At 36.3% G+C, this 24,463-nt stretch overlaps 1 protein-coding gene across 12 annotated transcripts in view; it reads right to left on the bottom strand.

Moving 5' to 3' along the window:
* SYCP1 (synaptonemal complex protein 1) overlaps positions 1 to 23,564 on the bottom strand; it is a 141,283-nt gene extending 117,719 nt beyond the window's left edge. For 4 of the 12 annotated variants that reach the window (NR_104211.2, NM_003176.4, XM_011542037.3 and 1 more), the window contains exons 1-11: positions 22,634 to 22,789; positions 22,080 to 22,211; positions 20,995 to 21,079; positions 20,377 to 20,420; positions 20,155 to 20,208; positions 18,941 to 19,105; positions 17,842 to 17,909; positions 16,843 to 16,916; positions 3,088 to 3,146; positions 1,514 to 1,583; positions 842 to 915 (exon numbers count right to left, since the gene is read on the bottom strand). Coding sequence is in view for 11 of the 12 variants with exons in the window: in NM_003176.4 (NP_003167.2) it covers positions 842 to 915; positions 1,514 to 1,583; positions 3,088 to 3,146; positions 16,843 to 16,916; positions 17,842 to 17,909; positions 18,941 to 19,105; positions 20,155 to 20,208; positions 20,377 to 20,420; positions 20,995 to 21,079; positions 22,080 to 22,187 (801 nt within the window). In the remaining variant the exon portion in view is untranslated. Of the gene's footprint in view, positions 1 to 841; positions 916 to 1,513; positions 1,584 to 3,087; positions 3,147 to 6,519; positions 6,567 to 8,777; positions 8,810 to 16,842; positions 16,917 to 17,841; positions 17,910 to 18,940; positions 19,106 to 20,154; positions 20,209 to 20,376; positions 20,421 to 20,994; positions 21,080 to 22,079; positions 22,215 to 22,370; positions 22,564 to 22,633; positions 22,790 to 23,365 lie in introns of those variants that run through there. The other 8 variants (NM_001282541.2, NM_001282542.2, XM_017002184.2 and 5 more) reach the window with 7 other exon arrangements.
* Between the last annotated feature and the right edge of the window lie 899 nt (positions 23,565 to 24,463).

Here is a 24,463-nt window from a genome sequence, read left to right as displayed (position 1 = left end):
TGGCCATGCCATCATTTTACAAGGAAGCCCAACAATCTGTAAGCTCTGCCCATGCACCTAGAACTCCAAAAAGCGTTTCAGTACTTCACTCTATTTTTGTGGTTTTTATTATCCTCTCTGTACTGTGAATTAATTTTTTAAATTATTAAGTAGATATCCTTGTTAACCATATTAGAAGATATCTTGTGGCAAATCAGACAAGAAAAACTGCAAATATAGTGAGAAATAGAAGAGGATTCTATTATATATATTGCTTTCCATTTGGGAAGCAGAAGACTTGAAACTGATAGAGATGGCATAATAATAATCTGAAACATTCTTGTGAATGCCAAAGGATATAGAGTTAACATTTTCAAGTCTTCCACTATATGACATGAATATAAAAAACATCTGTGTCTTGTTTTCTTAGGCTAAAAAAGAAAAAAGAAAGATGCAACAGAATATTTTAGTTCCTCTTCATTGATATTATGAATAGCACATTTCAAAACAAACTGCAAAATGTAAGTTGAGTAGTCAATGATCATCTATACATTTCATGAAGTTTTTGTCTGAACAAAAGTTCTCACAAAATAATATATTTTGAGGCAATATCCTATTACCCACTGATATAAATATTATAGAAGAATAATTGATTAAAACCCAAAAAAAGCTAGAGTGAGTACATATTTGAGTCAATGAAAATTAAGTGAGTCTAAAGGCTAAATATTAATATATGTATAATATTAAAATTCTCTCATAGGAATTTATCATACTTTCAGTAAATATAAACTTCTTTTGAAATTTTAAGTTTTTAATGAATTAGCAAATATAAAGAATACAAAGAGTTGGTTTTTTAAAAAACCTGCTTTTCCTTGTCATTTATTTCCTTCTTGTATTCTTGTTCAAGGTGTTGGATTTTTTCATAATCTTCCTTTACTTTAAAAATAAAACAAATATACTGTAATGTCATAACATAATTTTATAACATTTCTATTACAAACAAAATTTAAAGTTTATTTCACCTCTTTATTTATCTCTAAATTATATTAAACTCTAAAAGTTTGTAATGAGCTAATATTGCTGTTTTCTTCCTTTCTGTTTAGTAAAATAGTAAATATAAATAATATCAGTTATAATAACCTAAAATTCTATAATTCTTATATATAAAACTTTATTCTCTAAAACACACTAATCTGAAACAACAGGTTTTAAATATGTATAATATGATACATATACAATTATTTTAACATGCATACTATACCAAGATATGTAAAAAGAGACCAAATCACATTTCTAAAAAAAAAATAAAATTAGTTTGATTTCATGAAAGATGTAGTTTTAAAACCCAAAATTATTTTTAACAAATATTAATTCCCTGCCACATTCCACAAGATTTAGAGGGGCTTACAGAAATAAATAAAATAGAAAATAGTTCAGAGCATCAGGCTAAAGAGATGAAGACATTAACGGAATCTGATAAAAATATAAATAGCAAAACAGTAATATAAAAATTAAGTAAGATCCCTATACCTACACTTAAAATGCATTTCCAGTCTGGAATTCTCAGCTTGCACACGAAGTTCCTCAAAAGCTGTTATCATTTTCTGAAATATAAAGTTTTAAGAATCATACTTAAATTTTTTTAAATAGCTTTCTTCAAACTATGAAAATATTACCAAATTTGTATCATGTGATCATTAAATTTAAAACCACACAATTTGGAATAACTAAAACACTGTAATTTGAATTACTTACTAAAAATGTATTAAGAGGGCCTTATGTTAGTTTCCCAGATGCTTAAATGCACTGGCAACATGTTATACAATACAAAATAGCAGCAAATGGATTGTTGGTACACCAGCCATTTACTTAATAGCATGTATCAAAATCTGTAATTTTGTATTTATTTGTGCTTATTTATTTACGTCTTCTCCACTAATGTGAGGCCTCTCCCCATGAATCCAAAGTTACACTTCCATCAGCTGGCAGCATGTGTTCATTCGGCATTCAACAAATCTTGCTTTGTAAAATCAGGTTAATTAATTAATTAATTACTGAGTGCCTATTATGTGCCAGGAACTGTTTTAGGTAATAGGAATAGAAGACAAAGTCTCGGCCGGGCGCGGGGGCTCACGCCTCTAATCCCAGAACTTTGGGAGGCCGAGGCGGGCGGATCACGAGATCAGGAGATGGACACCATCCTGGCTAACACGGTGAAACCCCGTCTCCACTAAAAATACAAAAAATCAGCCGGGCGTAGTGGCTGTCCCCTGTAGTCCCAGCTACTCCGGAGGCTGAGGCAGGAGAATGGCTGAACCCGAGAGGCGGAGCTTGCAGTGAGCCGAGGTTGCGCCACTGCACTCCAGCCTGGGCGACAGAGCCAGACTGTCTCAAAAAAAAAAAAAAAAAAAGAAGACAAAGTCTCTACCCTACTGGACCTTACAATAAAGTGTAAAAAAGAATACAAATACACACACACACACACACACACACACACATATCAAATACATGCCATGCAGCTTTATGTGCTCTTGAGAAAAGTTAAATGAGATGGATATATATGGAATAATCAAATAGAAATTTTAGATAAAGTATTAAGGGGAGAATAACAAAAAAGCAGAATGAAGTTTAGAAATGTGCATAAGATCTTAGACATAAAAGTTCTGCAAAGGGTACAAATTCAAAGAACCACCATCAGAAAGAGCTTGGCAAATTTGAGAAACATAAAAGAGTGACTACAGCAGAAAAGCAAAGTGGACAATGACAGGAGATGAGAAAACAAAGGTAAACAGAAGCCAGACACAGATGAATAATACTTTATATGTTTTCAAATTAATGGTTATGTGTCACAATGTGCTGATTTCTGACAAAAGGCAGTAAATATTTGATAAATTAAGTGATGTCACTAACATGTAAATCAAAAAGCTCCTACATAACATTAATGCTCATAGTACAGAACCTTAGGAATTTTATTAGTGATACAATAATATATCAACAAATAAATAATAATCTTTTTAGTAAGAATAGTTGTCCATATCTTTGTAGCAATCGCTCTAATTTGCTCAGAAATTCCTATGTTTAAAATACTCAGATTTCATTAACACTCACCTCAATGTTATTATTTAGATCCATATAAACTTGCCTGGTTTCTTCCCGTTCATATTCATCTATTGTTAATATAAAAATTTCAAGATTAAATTTTAAAATAAGATGTCAACAAGACAATACTCAAAATGCCTCCAGAAAACATTAAAATATTTAAAATTCTGTGTTAATGATGAACATTGGGTTATCTAAATCATTACTGGGTCTTTTTAAGTTGCATCAAAAGCTGTTTGGGTTCAGTCTGTTGTGAAGAAGCTTAGAAGTCACTGCTCCATCCTAACGACAGGTAAAAAGCTGAACAAACTAAAAAATTAATAACTCTTCTCAGATCCTTAAGAGAAGTAAAGTCGCAGGGCAAACTACTACCCCAAAATTGGAGAGACAGGCAAACACAGAGAGAATTACAACTTACCAGGGCAGAAACCCATAAGCAGAAAACTCTGTGGGAACCAGAGTCAGGGAAAGAAAACCTGAACTATAATTGACACATTGCTGGAAATTCAGTGTAAACAAATCTGAGAGATACACTATGTGGAGGCTGGGTGTGGTGGCTCACGCCTGTAATCCTAGCACTTTGGGAGGCAGAGGTTGGCAGGTTGCTTGATGCCAGGAGTTCAAGACCACCCTGGCCAATGTGGTAAAACCCCATCTCTACTAAAAATACAAAAATTCTCCAAGCATAGTACCACATGCCTATAATCCCAGCTACTCAGAAGGCTGAAACATGAGAATCGCTTGAACCCAGAAGGCAGAGGTCGCAGTGAGCTGGGCGACAGAGTGAGACTCTATCTCAAAAAATAAAAATAAAAAAACCTCTGTGGAGACCCAGTCATCAGAGAGGCCCCAGATTCTTGTGAGTTTAACCTTCTGGAGCTCTACCAGGTTTCTCACAATGAACATAGGAAAAACATCCCCTTGTGCTTCTAACAGGAAAAGCCGTTTTGAACTATACCAATATGTCCCGTTCTTAACAAGGCCTCCTTTGGGAGAGCAAAATCTGCTGGGAATTTGTCAGAGCCTAACTAACCTGGGGGAAGGGAAATACCCAATTCCAGACAGCTCTAGCCTTCCATGTGAAGTAAGGAAAATATCCAACTCCATCCCCCTCTAGCCATCCAGATGGAAAATGGGAAATTCCCAACTGCAGCCCACTCTACCACCTTGTCCCATCTAAGGAGGAGAGGGATGCAAGGGCTGAGGAGTATTTATGAAGTTCATTATCTGGAGGCAAAAATTTGCTAAAAAACTGAGACCTAACCATAGGTCTATAGAATACTCCTCCCCCTATACTTTACCAGCACATTACAACAATTCCTTTACCCAGTACATCATGTGTAGCTATCCAAAACAATAAAAATACAAGCATACTAAAAGCAAAAAATACACTTTGACAAGACAAGCATAAGAACCAGACTCTGATACAGTTAAGGATGTCAGAATTATCCCAGACCAGTAATTTAGAACAACTATGATTGATATACTAAGGGCTCTAGTACATAAAGTAGACATCACGCAAGAATAGATAAGCAATTTAAAGAGATAGGTGAAAATTCTAAGAATGACTCAAAACAAAAATGCTACATATCAAAACCACTGTAACAGAAATGAAGGGCTTGTGGGTGTGGGGGCTCATTCCCATAATCCCAGCCACTCAGAAGGCTCAGGCAAGATGATTACTTGAGGCCAGGAGTTGGAGACCAGCCTAGACAACATAGAAAGACGCTGTCTCTAAAAAAAATAAAACGAAGAAATGAGGGGCTTATTAGTAGACTAGACACAGCTGAGGAAAGTAATCTTTGAAGTTGAAGATATTTCAACAGAAACCTCAAAAACTGAAAGGCAAAGAGAAAAAAGACTAGAAAGAACAGAACAGAATATCCAAGAACTGTGAGACAACTACAAAAAGTATAATGGGAATACCAGAAGGAGAAGAAAGAGAAAAAGGAACATAAAATATTTGTAACAATAATGACTAAGAATTTTCCCTAAATTAATTTCAGACACCAAGTCACAGATCCAGAAAGCTCAGAGAACAGAAAGCAGGATAAATGCCAAAGACACTACACCTATGCATATTACATTCAAACTACAAAAAATCAAAGATAAAGCTAGAGGAAAAAAACATTTTACCTACAGAGGAGCAAAAAGAAAGATTCTATCTGACTCCTCCTCAGAAACCACGCAGGCAAGAATAGAATGGAGTAAAATATTTAAAATGCTGAGAGAAAAAACCAGCAACACAGAATTCTGTAATTTGAGAAACTATCCTTCAAAAGTGAAGAAATAAATACTTTCTTTGACAAAAGTTGACAGAATGTGTTGCCAGCAGACCTGCCTTCCAAGAAATGTTAAAAGAAATTATTTAAAGAGAAAGAAAATGATTTATGTAAGAAATTCAGATCTCTATAAAGAAAAAAAAGAGCAACAGCTGGTCTCAGTGGCTCACACCTGTAATTCCAGTGCTTTGGGAGGCCAAAGTGGGAGGATCACTTGAGGCCAGAAGTTCAAAACCAGCCTGGATAACATAGCAAGACCCCATCTCTGCCAAAAAAAAAAAAAAAGAAAAAGAAAGAAAAAAAAGAGCATCAACGCAGAAATAAGTGAAGGCTAAATAACTTTTATTTTTCTCATTCTTAATTGATCTAACATATAAGTTTGTCAAAAATAGTAATACCAATAATGGGCCAGGCGCAGTGGCTCACACCTGTAATCCCAGCACTTTGGGAGGCCAAGGCAGTTGGATCACTTGAGGTCAGGAGTTCAAGACCAGTCTGGCCAACATGGCGAAAATCCATCTCTACTAAACATACAAAAATTAGCATATTACTAAACATAAAAAAATTGGCACACGCCTGTAATACCAGCTACTCGGGAGGCTGAGGCAGGAGAATCACTTGAACCCAGGAGGCGGAGGTTGCAGTGAGCCAGGATCATGCCACTGCACTCCAGCCTGGGCAACAGAATGAGACTCTGCCTCAAAAAACAAAAAACAGACAAACAAACAAAAAAATAGCAACAATGTATTAGATTATAAATGCTTATTTATGCTTTATATAAAAGAAATTAATGACAGCAATGATACAAAAGACGGGAGGAGGCCAGCCGGGCCTGGTGGCTCAAGCCCATAATCTCAGCACTTTGGGAGGTGGAGGAGGGTGAATCACTTGAGGTCAAGAGTTCAAGACCAGCCTGGCCAACATGACAAAACCCCGTCACTACTGAAAATACAAAAATTAGCCGGGCTTGGTGGTGGGCACCTGTAATCTCAGCTACTCAGGAGGCTGAAGCACGAGAATCACTTGATCCCGGAAGGTGGAGGTTGTGGTGAACCGAGATGGCACCACTGCACTCCAATCTGGGCAATAAAACAAGACTCTGTATCCAAAAAAAAAAAGAAAAAAAAAAGATGGGAGGAAAGAATTATAAGGTACTCACTGTAACCTTGAAGCAGTAGAGGGTTATTTGAAAGTCGACTTGGATTACTGTAAATATATATTGCAAACTCTAGTGAAATCACTTTAAAAAGTAAAAATAGAAGTATAACTAATATTCTAAGAAAGGAGAGAAACTGGAATCACATAAAATGCTCAATTAAAACCACAAATAGCATAAAAAGAGTAAAAGACAAAAATAGGAACAAAGAACAGGACAACAAATAGAAAAACAGTAATAAATGTGGTAGATAATAATCCAACTATATCAATAATCACTTTGAATGACAATAGTCTAAATGACCAACTAAGAGATTGTCAGAGTGGATCAAAAAACAATACCCAACTACATGCTGTCTATAAGAAACTCACTTTAAATGTAAAATCACATCTAGAATAAAAGTAAATGGATAAAGATACACCATATTAACACTAATCACAAGAAAGCATGTTAACACTAATCAAAAGAAAATTAAAAACTTCTACTCTACAAAAGAGAATGTCAAGAGAATGAGAATACAAGCCACAGACTGGGAGAAAATGTCTGCAAAAGAAACATCTGATGAAGGACTGTTATCTATAATATACAAAGACTCAAATATTATTAAGTCTTTTCTCTTATTGTTGATTAAAATTCAACATTAAGAAAACAAGCAATTTGATTAAAAAATGGGCCAAAGACCTTAACAGACACCTTACAAAAGGAGACATATGGATGGCAAATAATCATATAAAAAGAGTAGCTATATTAATTTCAGACACAGCCAACTTCAAAGCAAGGAAAGTTGTCAGATATAAAGAGGGCCATTTCAAAATGCTTTTAGAGCTGGGCACAGTGGCTCATGCCCGTAATCCCAGTACTTTGAGAGGATGAGGATGGAGGATCACTTGAGCCCAAGAGTTCGAGACCACCCTAGGCAACGTAGCAAACCCCTTCTCTACAAAAAATAGAAAAATTAGCCAGGAGTGGTGATACACACCTATAGTCCCCACTACTCAAGAGGCTGAGGTAAGAAGATCGCTTGAGCCCAGGATTTCAAGGCTGCAGTGAACTATGATCACATCATTGCACTGCAGTCTGGGTAACAGACCAAGACCCTGTCTCAAAAAATAAATAAATAAATAAAAATAAAATGCTTTTGGGTCATTTCTCCAAGGAGATATAACAATTTTTAACATGTATAGGCCTAATAATATGGTGTCAAAATACGTGAAGCAAAAACTGGTAGAACCGCAAAGAGAAATAAATTAATCCACTATTATAGTTGAAGATTTCAACATCTCTATCAGAAATGGACAGACCCAGCAGGCAGAAAATCAGTAAGACATGTATGTTGAGTGTCCCTTATCCAAAATGTTTGGGACCAGGACAATTAATATATCAGATTTCAGATTTCTTTTTAGATTTTGGAATATTTGCATTGTGTTTACCAGTTGAGCATCCCCAATCTGAAAATCCAAAATCTGAAATGCTCCAATGAGCATTTCCTTTGAGCATCATTTTGGCACTCAATTGGATTTTGGAGTATTTTAGATTTGGGATTTTTGGATTAGGGCTGCTTAACCTGTAGTTGGATTCAATAAAACCATCAATCACCTTGACATTTACAGACTGCTTAATCCAACAATAACAGAATGCATAGTCTTCTGAAGCTCACATGGAATATTCATCAAGATAGACCATATTCTGGGCCATAAGACACACCTTAACAAATTTAAAAGATTATAAATTGTACAGTATCTGCTCTCAGATCACAATGGAATTAAACCAGAAATAAATAATAGAAAGATACCTGGAAAATCACAAAATGCTTGGAGAATAACCAAGACACTTCTAAATACCACCTGAGTCAAAGAAGAAATCTCAAGAGAAATTCAAAAACATTTTGAACTAAATGAAAATTAAAACACATATTATCAAAATCTGTGCGATACAGGAAAAACTGAGAGGGAAATTTATAGCATTGAATGCATAAATTGGAAAAGACAATCTGAAATCAATCATCTAAGTTTCCACTGTAGGCAACTAGAAAGAGAAGAGCAAATTAAATCCAAAGTAAGAAGGAGAAAAGAAGTAATAAAAATTAGAGTAAAAACCATGAAAGTGGAAACAGAAAATCAATATTTTAAAAAATCAATGAAACCAAAAGCTGGTTATTTGAAAAGATCAATAAAATCAATAAATTCTAGCCAGGCTAAGAAAAAGAGAGAGAGGATTCAAATTACTAATCCATAAATGAAAAAGGAGACATCACTACAAACCTCATGGATGTTAAAATGAAGAAATATTATGAACAATTCTATGCCCACAGGTTTGCTAACCTAAATGGAATGGACCAACTGTCAAAAGACACAACTGCCAAAACTCACAGAATTAAAAGCAGGCAATCTGAATAAGCCTATATCTATTAAAGAAATTAAGTCAATAATTAATAACCCTCCAGAACAGAAAGCACCAGGCCTGCCAGCTTCACTGGTGAATTCTACAAACATTTAAGGAAGAAACTATACCAATTCTCTACTATCTCTTTCAGAAGATAGAAGCAGAGGGAATATTTTCTAGCAGTACCCTAATACCAAAACCAGACAAAGACATTATAAGAAAATTACAGACAAATATCTCTCATGAACATAGATGCAAAAATACTCAACAAAACATTAGCAAATCAAATCCAACAATATATAAAAGGAGCCTGACACAGTGGCCCACACCTATAATCCCAATTCCAGCTACTCAGGAGACTGAAGTGAAAGGATTGCTTGAGGCCAAAAGTTTGAGACTAGCCTGGGCAACATAGCAAGATCCCATCTCTAAAAAGAAATTTTAAAAATTATCTGGGTGCAGTGGCACACACCTATAGTCTCAGCCACTGAGGAGGCTGAGGCAGGAGGATCACTTAAGCCCAGGAGTTCAAGGCTATAGTGAGTTATGATCATGCCTGTGAATAGCCACTGCACTCCAGCCTGGGTGACAGAGCAAGATCCTGTCTCAAAAAAAAAAAAAAGTATAAAAAAAATTATACAACACAACCAAATGGGATGCAGTCAAGGTATGCAAGGCTGGCTCAGCATTTTAAATCAATTATTGTAATCCATCACATAACAGGCTAAAAAATTACAAGATCATATCAATAGATATAGAAAAATTATTTGACAAAATCCAACACCCACTCATGATAAAAACTTTTAGTAAACTAGGAATAGAAGGGAACTTGCTCAATCTAGTAAAGAATATCTACAGAAACCTATAGCTAATATCATACTTAATGGTGAGAAACTAGAAGCTTTCCCACTAAGATCAGGAACAAGGCAAGGATGTCCCCTCTCACCATTCTTTTTCAACATTGTACTTAAAGTTTTAATTAATACAATAAAACAAAAAAAGGAAACAAATGGAATCAGATTGAGAAAAAAGAAATAAAAACTACTTTATTCACAGATAACATAACTGTCTATACAGAGAATTTGAAAGAATTAACAAAAAAAAATCCTGGAACTAATAAGCAATTACAGCAAGGTTACACGATACAAGATTAATATACTATACAAACGTCAATCATTTTCCTATACACCAGCAATGAATAAGCGGAATTTGAAATTGAAAACACAATACCATTTACATTAGTATACAAAAAAAATGAAATACTTAGGTACAAATCTAACAAAACATGCAAGATCTATATGAGGAAAACTATAAAATTTTGATGAAAACAATCAAATAATAATTAAATCAATAGAGAAAGATTCCATGATCATAGATAGGAAGATTCAATATTGTCAAGATGTCAATCCTTCCCAACTTGATCTACAGATTCAATGCAATCCCAATAAAAATCTCAGCAAGTTATATTGTGGATATCTACAAACTGATTCTAAAGTTTATATGGTGAGGCAAAAGACTCAGAAGAGCGAACACGATATTAAAGGAGAAGAACAAAGTTGGAGAACTGATACTATTCAAATTCAAGACTTACTATAAAGCTACAGTAATCAACATAGTGAGGGATTTGTGGGGGAAAAGGACAAAGAAATCAAGGGAACAAAATAGAGAGTCCAGAAACAGACCCAATATATATAGTCAACTGATCTTTGACAAAGGAGTAACAAATAGACCCAAACAAATATAGTCAACTGATATTTGACAAAGGAGTAACAGCTATAAAATAGAGAAAAGATGGTCTTTTCAACAAATGATGCTGAAACAAGTGGACATCTGCATGCAAAAAAAAAAAAAGAATCTGGACACAGATCTTACACCCTTAACAAAAATTAACTCAAAATTTATCATAGACCTAAATGTAAAATACAAACCATAAAACTCCAAGATAAATAGGAGAAAACCTGGATGATCTTGGGTATCACGATGACTTTTTTTTTTTAGATACAATCCATGAAAGAAAGAAATAATGAGCTGGACTTCATTAAAATTAAAAACTTCTGCTCTCCAAAAGATAATGTCAAGAGAATGAGAATACAAGCCGCAGACTGGGAGAAAATGTCTGCAAAAGAAACATCTGATAAAGGACTGTTTTCTATAATATACAAAGACTCAAAATTGTTAAGTCTTTTTTCTTATTGTTGATTAAAACTCAACAATAAGAAAACATGCAACCTGATTAAAAAATGGGACAAAGACCTTAACAGACACCTTACCAAAGGAGACATACAGATGGCAAATAATCACATGAAAAGATTCCCATCATATGTCATCAGAGAAATGCAATTTAGAACAACAAAGAGATATCAATACATACCCCTATTCGAATGGCCAAAATCCAGAACTTTGACAACACCAAATGCTGGTGAGAGTATAGAACAACAGAAACTCTCATTCACTGCTGGCGGAAATAAAAAATTGTACACCCACTTTGGAAGACAGTTTGGCAATTTCTTACAAAACTAAACATACTTTTACCATGTGATCCAGGAATTGTGCTCCTTGGTATTTACTCAAAGGAGTTTAAAATGTCCACACAAAAGCCTGCACATGGATATTTATAGCAGCTTTATTCATAACTGCCAAAACTTGGAAGCAACCAAGATGTCCTTTAGTAAGTGAATGGATAAATAAGCTGTGGTATGTGCAAACAATGAATGGAATATTATTCAGTGCTTAAAAAATGAGCTATCAAGTGATGAAAAGACATGGAGGAAACTTGAATGCATATTACTAAGTGAAAGAAGCCAATATGAAAAGCCTACGTACTGTAGGATTCGAACTACATAACATTCTGGAAAAGGCAAAATTATGGAGACAGTTAAAAGATCAGTGGTTACCAGAGTAGGGTGTAGAGAATCAATAGGCAGAACACAGAATTTTAGGGCAATGAAACTATTCTGTATTATACTATAATGGCGGACATATTTGTCCAAATCCATAGAGTGTACAACACCAAGAGTGAACACTAATGTAAACTATGAACTTTGGACAATTATGATGTGCCTATGTAGGTTCATCAATTGTAACAAACATGCCACTCTGGTGAGTTATGTTGATAATCGGAGAGGCTATAGATGCATGGGGCAAAAGCTTTGCAAACTGGACTCTGCATAAAACACTACCCAAGTCCCAGAACTATCCTTGAGTACAGCATACATGAAATAGACCCAGGGCAGCACAGCAAAGGCATTGAAAATTGAACTGATATTGGAACACCCACAATGAAAAGGCAAGACAGAACCTATTCTAAACCTAAGTGAGCTGACTGCCTGTTAGAAAATAAACAAATAAACATTCTCTAGGAAATCTGAAGAGGACTCAGATTCTCACAACATAATCCAGGATATAATACAGAATTGCTGAACATTCAATGAACTAGGAAAATTTAACCATTCTAAGTCTCAAATTATTAATTATTATCTAAGATAGCTGATGAGATAACCAATAAAACTAGGATCTATGGCAAAAAAAAAATCACAGAAATGGACCCCAGGGTATTGCAGACGTTGGCATTATTGGATACAACTATGTTTATTATGTTCATACAGATAAAAAGTAGAGCTTTAAAAAGTCAGCAAAGAACTTAAAATTCTGGAAAGTGACACTACAAATTTTTAAAGAACTAGCTAATACTCAACCAGTAAATACAATAACAAATTAAGACACCAACTGATAAATTTTAAAACAGACAAGATAGCATTAGGAGATATACCTAATGCTAAATGACGAGTTAATGGGTGCAGCACACCAGCATGGCACATGTATACATATGTAACTAACCTGCACATTGTGCACATGTACCCTAAAACTTAAAGTATAATAATAATAAAATAAAAATAAAATAAAACAGACAAGAATTAACTAAATAGAAAATCAGTAAACTGGAAGAGAGGTTAGAAGAAATTATGTGGGCCAGGGCAGTGGCTGACACCTATAATCCCAACATTTTGGGAGGCCAAGGTGGGAAGATCACTTGAGCCCAGGAGTTTGAGACTATCCTGGGCAACATGGCGAAACCCTGTCTCTAAAAAAATACAAAAATTAGACAGCCCTGGTGGTGTGCAGCTGTAGTCCCAGCTACTTGGGAAACTGAGGTAGGAAGATTGCTTGAGCTTGGGATGCGGGGGTTATGGTGAGCCAAGATGGAACCACTGCACTCCAGCCTGGGCAACAGTGTGAGACCACCCCACCCCCCATCAAAAAAAGAAAAGAAAGAAAGAAAAAAGTATCCTGAGTGGAGTACAGTGAGAAAAAAGATGAAAAATACAGAGTCAGAAATACAGAACAGTGGCCTCATTATTGTGACCTGAAAAGATTGAACAGGCTCTCATCTCTGGGACTTTGCACTTAACTGCTTCCTCTGCCTGAAATATTCTTTCCTAAAATAGATGGCCCACTCCCTTATTCAGGTCTCTACCCAATGTCACTTAACCAGAAAAAACTTCCCAATCACCCTGTCCCAAAATATTCTCTCCTTAAGCAGTTATCACCTAACATATATTTTATTTATTCATTAATGATCTGTATCCTCTCCCCTCACTAGACTGTATACTCTTTTTTTTTTTTTAAGTTCTGGGATACATGTGCAGAATGTGTAGCTTTGTTACATAGCTATACATGTGCCATGGTGGTTTGCTGCACCTATCAACCCATCATCTAGGTTTTAAGCCCCACCTGCATTAGGTATTTGTCCTAATGCTCTCCCTCCCCCTGCCCCCCACCCCCCAACAGGCCCGGGTGTGTGATGTTCCCCTCCCTGTGTCCATGTGTTCGCATTGTTCAACTCCCACTTATGAGTGAGAACATTTGGTGTTTGGTTTTCTGTTCCTGTATTAGTTTGCTGAGAATGATGGTTTCCAGCTTCATCCATGTCCCTGCAAAGGACATGAACTCATTCTTTTACAGAAAAAAAAAGAAACCCATTCAAAAAGTCGGCAAAGGCTATAACCAGACACTTCTCAAAAGAAGACATTTATGCCACCAACAAACATGTGAAAAAAAGCTCATCATCACTGGTCATTAGAGAAATGCAAATCCAGACCACAATGAGATACCATCTCACGCCAGTTAGAATGGCAATTATTAAAATGCCAGGAAACAACAGATGCTGGTGAGGCTGTGGAGAAATAGGAACTTTTTTTTTTTGAGACGGGCTCTTGCTCTGTTGCCAGGCTGGAGTGCAGTGGCATGATCTCAGCTCACTGCAACCTCCGCCTCCCGGGTTCAAGCGATTCCCCTGCCTCAACCTCCTGAGTAGCTGGGACTACAGGCGCGTGCCATCATGCCCAGCTAATTTTTTTGTATTTTAGTAGAGATGGGGTTTCACCATGTTGGCCAGGCTGGTCTTGATCTCTTGACCTCGTGATCTGCCTGCTTCGGCCTCCCAAAGTGCTGGGACTACAGGCGTGAGCCCTGTGCCTGGCCTAGGAACACTTTTACACTATTGGTGGGAGTGTAAATTAGTTCAACCATTGTGGAAGACAGTGTGGTGATTCCTCAAGGAAATAGAACCAGAAATACCATTTGACCCAGCAATCCCATTACTAGGTGTATACCCAAAGGATTATAAATCATTCTACTATAAAGACACATGCACACGTATGTTTATTGCAGCACTATTTACAACAGCAAAGACTTGGAACCAACCCAAATGCCCATCAATGACAGACTGGATAAAGAAAATGTGGCACATATACACCATGGAATATACACTCTTGTAAGAGTAGAGACTTTGTTCACTGCTGTTTTTCATCAGCATCTAGAAGATTTCATGACATAGCAGGCACTAAAAAAATATTGAATGAATGAATAAAAGAAAGAAAAAAGCACAATAACAAAAAGACTGGTCAACAACTTAAGGCAAGAATCTGCATAGAGTTTACACTAACAATAAAGCAAGTGTCAAGACTTTAAAAAAAAAACTTTCTACATGTCACATCAAGACATACCTCAACTTTAGTTTATTAAAGAGACCACCTTGAAAAATGTTGGGTTCTCTAAACCTTCCTCACCATCTGATTTCTAACTTAGCTGAAAACTAAATGTAAGAAAGAACTATCGCCCAGCGCAGTGGCTCACGCCTGTAATCCCAGCACTTTGGGAGGCCGAGGCAGGTGGTCAAGAGATCGAGACCATCCTGGCCAACATGGTAAAATCCCATCTCTACTAAAAATACAAAAAATTAGCCAGCGTGGTGGTGGGCACCTGTAGTCACAGCTACTCAGGAGGCTGAGGCAGGAGAATCACTTGAACCCTAGGGGTGGGAGGTTGCAGTGAGCCGAGATTGTGCCACTGCACTCCAGCCTGGCCACAGAGTTAGACTTCGTCTAAAAAAAAAAAAAAAACAAAGAACAAAAAAGAACTATCAGACTTGTCTCTCTAACCCAAGTTATTTTCTGCAAGACAGCCAATGTACTATCCTTCTACCCTATCACTGTACTTTTCACCACTTTTTATATCTAGGCAGAAAAATTAATCTTGAATGTTGAGTACATAGGATATAGTAGAGGAGCTGGTAGTGGTATGGTACATTCTGGAAGATACATAGAGTTTTGAAAAGCAAGGTAATACAGGCAGGGACTAAGAATAAAAATCCTGGCCGGGTGCAGTGGCTCATGCCTGTAATCCCAGCATTTTGAGAGGCTGAGGTGGGAGGATCACCTGAGGTCAGGAGGTCGAGACCAGCCTGGCTAACATGGTGAAACCCCCTTTCTACTAAAAATACAAAAAATTAGCTGGGTGTGGTGGCACATGCCTGTAATCCCAGCTACTCGCGAGGCTGAGGAAGGAGAATTGCCTGAACCCAGGAGGCAGCGGTTGCAGAGAGCCGAGATCACACCATTACACTCCAGGTTGGGCAACAAGAGTGAAACCACATCTCAAAAAAAAAAAAAAAAAGAATAAAAAAACCTAACAGTCAATGTTAGAAATAACGACAATAATAATAATAAAATACCCAACATTTATTGAGCACTTTGCATTGTTCTAAGCATATTTATTAACATTTAATTTTCAGGACAATACTAAGAGGCATTTAATTAATAAACAGAGTGACAGACAGACTACATAATTTACTCAAATTATTCAAGCTCCCTAGGTGGACAGAAACTGAAAGTCTAAATTTGAGCACCGGCTATCTAATCCTTAAGCCCAAGCTGTTAAGTAGTAAGCTGTATGATACAAATTAAAATTTTTAGCTAAGAAAAATAGAGAATATCCCGAAAAAGCAGGTAGACAGTATTTCCCAATGGATTCTTGGCAGAAACAAAGTAAAGCCAGGGTCAAATTATGGCAAAAATAAAGAATTATATTTTATAATCACACACTTATTTTTCATCAAAATGGGAAAAAATCCTACTTTATAATTTAAAAAAATGAAAACATGCTTTAAAATTTTTAAACTGTTCTTTCACATACACAACACAACCATATTAGAATATTTTAAAAGAATTTTTCTTTAGGAAAAATTTGAGAATTCTATTTAGATTGAAAATAAACATTGCACCACTATTCATAAATACAATGGCTTTAGCAAAGCCTCTACTGGTATTTTCTATTACGAGCATGGCTATGTATCTTATTCTCGATTGAATTTCCTAGTTGTTCCAGACAGAGGTTAGTCTCAAAATCATACCTTACTTGAAACCAGGATTAACTATAAATATCAAGAATATACCCTTTGACATATATTACCTTTCAAAAAATTTTGAGCTTTCAAAAGTCAAAGAACTGTGATTCTCCTTATTACTTATATAAAAATAGTCTGAGGCACATATAATTTGTTCAAATCAAATTGGTTCCAAAAATTAAAAGGACAATTTCTTTCCCTCTCCACCTCTACCAGTAAAATAAATTGATAAAATCACATAAAACAAGAAAGATATTTACATTTCTTTGTCTTTTCTGCAGATCTAGCACAGGTTTCTTTGAGTAGATTACATAAATGCCTTGTGGCATTATTCCTGAAACAAAGGAAAGAGTTTGCCTGTGTGTAATCTGATCTCAAAGCAAAATCACAATATATAAGTTATGAAATATATTGTTACAATTTTTAAGAAATTTTTAAAATATTATAATCTTTGGCATACATCACATTATTCATAAATGACTATATGAAGAAACAGTGGGTTGACTGTACTACTAGCAAAGATGATTTAGTAATTGCCTCCCTTTAAAAGTAAAAGTTCTAGTAACTGGCCACTAAAATAAATAAACAAATAAAAGTGACAGCTCCTTAACAAGTTTCTACCCAAGTTGCTATCAATAAACTTTCAGTAAACAGGTCTAGATTTGCCTAAGGAAAAATAATGAGAATAGGTTGGGCCATTCATTAACAAATTAATATATGTCTAACCTTCAAAACACAAAATAAGGTAACTTTCTGATTAGGCATTCATTATGTGAATGATGAGACCTGTGGCTATCTTGAAGTTACTAACACATATGGCAGTTAGACTTAATTTTCTAACTTACCATTTTTCTGTAGAAATAAACTGTTACATTTTCAAAAACAGGAATTTGAGTAAGAATTAACTTGGAACTAAGTTAAGTCCTGTTTTATAAGTACTGTACTCAAGACAGCAGTGAAACAGACAACATACATAGGTAGTTGTAGATACAGAATTATCAGGCATCTTTTTTGACACCAAGGAATGTTTATTCCTGATGCCTGACATTTTAAAAAGTGAAGTTATTAGTCAGTGACCACAGTTTGCCAAACACAAGAATGTACATCTTCCTTTTTCCATAGCACTCAGATATAATTCTACTTATAAATTCATATGATATAACGTATAGAAAGTGCTCAATATGTTTTTGAAAATTATTTTAGTAGTAAATTTGGAATAAAAAATGTGAAAAGAACAAATTCATTAAATTACTACTTACTCTTTTATTAAATCTTTATTTTCTTGTATTCCTTCTTCTAATTTCAAACTTACTTTTTCATTTCCAAACTAATTTATAAAACAGAAAAGTTCATCCCATTTTGCTTATTAGCAAAAATAAACACGAATATAATCATTAAGCAGTATTTCTTTACTAATACACAATGGTCTAAAAGAATTATTTTCTTTCCACATAAAAAGGAAACATTTTTGTAATAGCTTATGATTTCCCTTAAGAATATGGCCTTCATCAATCTAAAATAAAGAAGGCTAAATCATCTCCAAGAAACATTCAACAATATTTTAATGCAATATTATCTTCTCTAAATATTTTTGAAGTAATGTTTTTTTCTTTGTCCTAATACAATGTCACATTTTCTCAACATTTTTTTCACTTTATGCTACAGATAAAGTTACACAGTTTCGGCCGGGAGCAGTGGCTCACGCCTGTAATCCCAGCACTTTGGGAGGCCGAGGCAGGTGGGTCACGAGGTCTAGGAGTTCAAGACCAGCCTGGTAAATATGGTGGCATCCCATCTCTACTAAAAATATAAAAATTAGCTGGGCGTGGTGGCTCAAGCCTGCAGTCCCAGCTACTTGGGAGGCTGAGGCAGAAGAATCGCTTGAACCAGGGAGGCGAAGGTTGCAGTGAGCCGAGATGGTGCCACTGCACTCCAGCCTGGGTGACAGAGCAAGACTATGTCTCACAAAAATAAATAAAAAAAATAAAGTTACACAGTTTCAAATTTAAAGTGTTACCTACAACTATTGTAATCTAAGAGAATATATTTACATAAAACATCAATAGGAATAAAAATTGAAACTCTTTATAATAAATTAGAATCATTAAATCAATTTTTATATAAAGTGATTTATTATTTCCCTAATCATTTGCATTAAGCGTTATACAACTTGTCCTCTATGCTCATTCTTAAAGTTAAAATGTATCCAGTATTGATGTAACTTTTAAAAAGCATTATCCTTAAAATATTCATCACAAAAACAAGATCAATCCAATTTATCCCAACTAATACTCTACTTTCAACAGTATTATGATTAGATTTACTATACTATGTTTACAATGCAAAATTGTGTCATACTTGCAGTTCCTGAATGGCTTTTCGCTGTGCTTCAATTATCTTTCTGTTTTCTTGCAACTTACTTTCTTTCTGTCTCAGTTCAGCTTCTGTACTTACTTTCCATTTTTTTATCTTTTCAGCCTCCTTATACAGTTTTGAATACACTCTGCTCAATCCCTCTGAATTCTATTAAAATATGTTTTCAAAAATTAATTGTCCAAAATTCTAATATAACCAAACTACAGCTGCCTACTGAAAATATCCATATACTAATAGTTGAGACCAAATATCTCCTCAATTTAAGCACTAATAGCATACTGAAAGCCACATTAACTCTTTTAAACTACTAAGGCAATATTAACTACTTCATTAAAGTTATTGGTCACTTGACTAAATTATACCTTGCTGAATAAAATGAAATGGCTCCATAAAAATATTTTAGTTAGTGACAGAATCTGGCTGGTTAAAAGCTAAAATAAATCATCCTATAAGAAATCTATAAATCTTAACAATGGTCTTGAAACACTTTGATTATACAAACAGTTTGAAGATTCACTAAAGGACATGAAGTTTAAAATATAATGACAAGAAAAATAAAAGTGAAGACAAGATATAATTTTCATCAAGTCTGATTTTTATATAGATTTCCTGCCTTTTTAAAATCCACATTATATTGTAAATATCAGAGATTTTTAGTCACATCAATTTTTGCTGGTTGACAACTTTTTCTTATAAAAATATATAAATAAGTTCTATATATTTTAAATTCTGTGATACCATAATCACAGCAACAAACATACAGTACCTTACCAGGCTATGGAATTTCTCTTCATTTTAAAGACACTATATGCCATAAATAAGAAATATTTTTATAACTAAAATCAAAAGTATATAGCATGTCCTACAAATTCCTTATACAATAAACCAGTCAACCAGTCAATTTCGTCTATTAATTAAAGGCTGATTTTGTAAAATACTCTCTTGATAATATACTTTTCAGGTATAGTACTCGTTTCCCCTCTTCTTGATTTCATGGTTTAAAATTAAATTGCCTCTACATAAATGGAACTTTCATAACCCAAAAAATACAGAAGCAGAAAAAAAGGTTTTAAAGGATATATCTTAAAACGTTAATCAAATAATAATCCTTTTGAAGCTTCAAAAGAAATATACATATAGGTAATAAGTTATATTCCAATTACAAGAAATTTAATATGAATGGGAAATCTTCTGACCTCCAAATCAGAGTCTTTTAGTCCTTCCTGATAGTGACAGTCAGAATTACCAACCTAAAAAGATAGATGTTTCTATAAGAAAATACTTCTGATAAGAGCTTCTAAATAATAACAATTAAATACAGAAGACTAGTAATGCAATAACTAAAGACTTTTTTCGTCTTCAAATAAGCAGTTCATTACCTAAACAGATTATATCTACATGTACTATGCTTAACTGACCTGCTCAAGCACGGGCAAGAAATTAACTTTTTGTAAAGCAGGATCTGCAAGATAAAAGACAACAGGTATTAAATACGCCAACATCTTTTTCTCTTTCTTTTTTTTTTTCTTTTTTCTCTTTTTTTTTTTTTTTTTTTTTGAGAGAGAGAGGACATCTGGCACTATTGCCTAGACTAGAGGGCAGTGACCCATCATGGCTCACTGCAGCCTCAAAGCCTCCATCTCTAGGGCTCAAATGATCCTCCCACCTTAGCCTCCCAAGTAGCTGGGACTGCAGGCGCATGCCACCATGTCCAGCTAGTTTTGGGGGTGGTGGGGTTTGTTTGCTGGTTTTTTTTTTTTTTTTTTTTTTTTGTACAGACAGGGTCTCCTTATGTTGCCCAGGCTGGTCTCAAACACCTGGCCTCAAGTGATCCCCCTCCATCAGCCTCCCTCCCACAGTGCTGGAATTACAGGTGTTAGCCACCGTGTCCAGCCTTATTTTTTATATTAAGTATTATATCTAGCTTTTGTGTCAATTATACTTATATAATACTTATGTTACATTTTCAATAACTATCGATGTATGTAACACAATGTTTCTATATAAGCTGATACACTGCTTTTCCATGCTCCTACCTGAATCAATGTTTTCCCCATTTTTGGAGAGATTAGTCTTTGCAAATGGAAACTCAAAATCATCTTCAGTACATTTGTTGAAACTCTAGAGACACAAAGAAGTTCTTAAATATTCTGTTTCATACCACTCTGATATACTAATAGTGTAATATATACATATGTAATATACATCTGCTTAAAAAGGTTACTATAATTGCAAATCCTTTAATGTACATACAGTGTTTAAAATATCAAATGCCTTTTCTATATAAACAAAGAAAAAATTCTAATTAGATATTTCCACTTGTAAGATGAAGCTAAACTATAAATTACTCAATATATGGCTTTGTAGGTATTCGAGAATAATAGTAAATCTAACTAGTAGTATAGAACAATATTAGTAGATTTCTTCAGTTTATGATTTCCCTTGATAGAATTAAAGATTGTCTTTATTGAATAGCATTTAATAATATATTATTGCCTATAGCAGCCACAAGAATTGTTTTACAGCATATACAAGTAAAATATTCATTGCATCATTGCATCTCCAATATAAGGATCCACATGATAAATTTTTTTAATTAATTTTTAAAGCTCTGTTTCACCTGAGAAACTTGGTATAATTCCTCCTATCCAATGATAACACCATTACATAAATGAATTTCCCTCTTTGCCCTATCCACTAGGAAGCTCAGAGCCAAATCTGAAGCTCAGTCACAACACGAATTATTATTCATATATAGGCATTTGTCCAAATAGTCCTCATTTTTCTTGATAATTTTCCTAATTTTATCCTAACATATTCTACTATCTCGTAGTATCTGTCCTATAAGTTGCCACGAATCAAATACGGAAAGAAGGAGAATTAAAATAAGCACGTTCCACTATGTATGCAGAGTTCTACGGCAGCAGTCATTATTTAAATGAATGATGCCTACACAATAATGCTCACTGTTCATTTAAAGCAATGGGATTCAAAATTCTTGGGTAAATGAGACCATTTATTGAGAAGAAATAATTATAAAACACCACCAGGAAGAAAGTACACTTTTCTTCATTTCCCTAAAGTTAAGAAGAGTCCAATTAAGAGTCACATGGAAATTTACCTTGAAGAAAGTGGAATCGCCTCCCAGGGTCTGAGGTTTCACCGCAGACACCTGACTGCTGCTTGATCTCGGTGGTACGAACAATGCAAAGGGCTTTTGCTTTTCCATTTTCTCTGTTACGGTTGTAAATATCTACTGCCCCGGGGGGGCGGGAGGGGAAGGAAAGTTTTTTTTCACCGAGTGTCATGAATACACTATGTATTCTTTAAAGTGATGTTTACAAACTAAATGGCTAAAAAAAAAGGAATCCACGGGGCTCTCGCTACAGTGGAGCCCTACAACGTCGCTTACCGCGGAGTGGGCAACGGAATAAACCCTCGTTTCCTTCTCCCTTTCGCCCTACCGCCCGCTGCCACGCTGGCCTGAAAAGAAAGCCCGTTCCCTTCTCCTGTCCCATTAAATTCCATCACATCGCCAGGAGGAACTGTCTTAAGTTCCTGGACCACTACCCAAAAGAAAACAGCGGAGGGCTGCGGCGGGGAGGTGCAGTAGCACAACATCGCCCCGCTCTGGGCTCAGTCCCCAGGAAAATAACTCGGGGCACCTGCCCTCACCTTTGAAGAACTAGCGGGAAACCGTGGGTTCTGTGCCCACGCGAACTGCTACATACGGTCTATGAGGGCAACAGAAAGAACCAATGGCTCCCGCCTCAGAACCTCAGAAAAGGCGGGAAATCGCTCAGCCTGAGCGGCCCGGAGCGCGTGGGCCCCGGGCGGCTGGCAGTTCAACGGCTAAATAACCGTCGCTGTGTGGGCTTGCCAGGCTCCCAGGACCTGAATCTCGCGAGATTTCCCTAATCGCTAGGAACAATTGTTTCCCGGATTCTGTATTTCCTTGGAGTGGAAGTTCTTTAGGCTTCTGCTATTGTCAAAGAATGCTAGGGAAACTGTCAGGCTCTATGACAGACTGAAGCTGAGAGTGAAAAATCCATTTCTGCCCTCCAAGAGGTCACAATCTTAGGAAGGAAACAGATGGGCAAACAATTAAAATGTCCTATAATCATTTAGGGTAATTCCTATGATAAGGACGTAGGCAAAGTGGCTCTTAGGGTGGCTTGGGGAGTCAGGAGAAGCTCCACAGATGTGGTATAGTTCTGTTACTGTTTCACATAAGAATGAGTGAATGGAGAGTTGGCTAGGCGGGCCGGTGGCTCACGCCTGTAATCCCAACACTTTGGGAGGCCAAGGCGGGAGGACTGCTTGAGCCCAGGAAGGAGTTCAAGACCAGTCTGGGCAACGTAGTGAGACCCTGCCTCTCCTAAAATAGCCGGGTGTGGTGGTGCGCACCTGTGTCCTCAGCTACTTAAAAGGCTGAGGCGGGAAGATCACTTGAGTCTTGGAGACAGAGGCTGCAGTGAGCTAATAATCCTGCCACTGGCTCCAGTCTGGGCAACAGAGCCAGATTCTGTCTCAAAGAGAGAGAGAGAGGAGACAGAGGAGAGAAAGGAGGCAGAGGGAGGAAACGGAGGAGAGTAGGGAAAGAGGGGAGAGAGGGGAGAGCGGGGGAAGGGGGAGAGGGAGAGGGAGAGGGAATGGGGAAAGAGTATTGCTGGCTGACGCAAGGCGAGCAAAGGCATTGGAGTTGTGAGAGAGATTATTACAACTAAGTCCAAGAAGCGTTCTGTGTGAGGATTAAGTGGGGAAAATGGCAAGAGATGACACTAGAGATTTCAAGAGCAAGTATTAGCCGAGCGCGGTGGCTCACTTCTGTAATCCCAGCACTTTGGGAGGCCAAGAAGGGCGGATCACTTGAGGTCAAGAGTTTGAGACTAGCCTGACCAACATGACGAAACCCTGTCTCCAGTAAACATCCAAAATTAGCCAGGCACGTGGCACACGCCTGTAGTCCCAGTGACTCGGGAGGCTGAGGCAGGAGAATCGCCTGAACCCCCGGGGAGGCAGACGTCGCAGTGAGCCGAGATTGCCCCATTGCATTCCAGCCTGGGCCACAGAGTGAGACTCCGTCTCACAAAAAAAAAAAAAAAAAAAAAGAGAGAAAGAGAAAGCAAGTATTATAGAAAGGCCTTGGAAAAGTGTCTGGATTTTTGACTTTGTGGACGGAGATCTTGAAGAATTTTGAGCAGAAAGGATTACACGATCGAGTTCAGAAGAAAACTTGTAGTATGAAGAATGGTTTAGGCTTAAGAGACCAGAGTAGCGAGACAGTTTTAATAGCCTGGGTGAGACATGAGGACTTGAGCTATGACACGGACAGTGGAGTGAAGAGGAGGTGTCAAATGTAAAAGATATTTAAGAAGTAAAATTAGTAGAATTTTATAACTTTTTAGTAGTAAGAAGTGAAAGAAAGGGAGCAGTCTAAGATGACTACCTGGTTTCAGGCTTGAGTAACTAGCTATTATCATCATCCTAGTGCTAAGTTACTTA

This window comes from Homo sapiens, chromosome 1, assembly GCF_000001405.40.
Source record: "Homo sapiens chromosome 1, GRCh38.p14 Primary Assembly".
Lineage (NCBI taxonomy): Eukaryota > Metazoa > Chordata > Mammalia > Primates > Hominidae > Homo > Homo sapiens.
The sequence above is the reverse complement of the archived record's forward strand: the minus strand, read 5'-3'. Positions and strand labels throughout refer to the sequence as shown.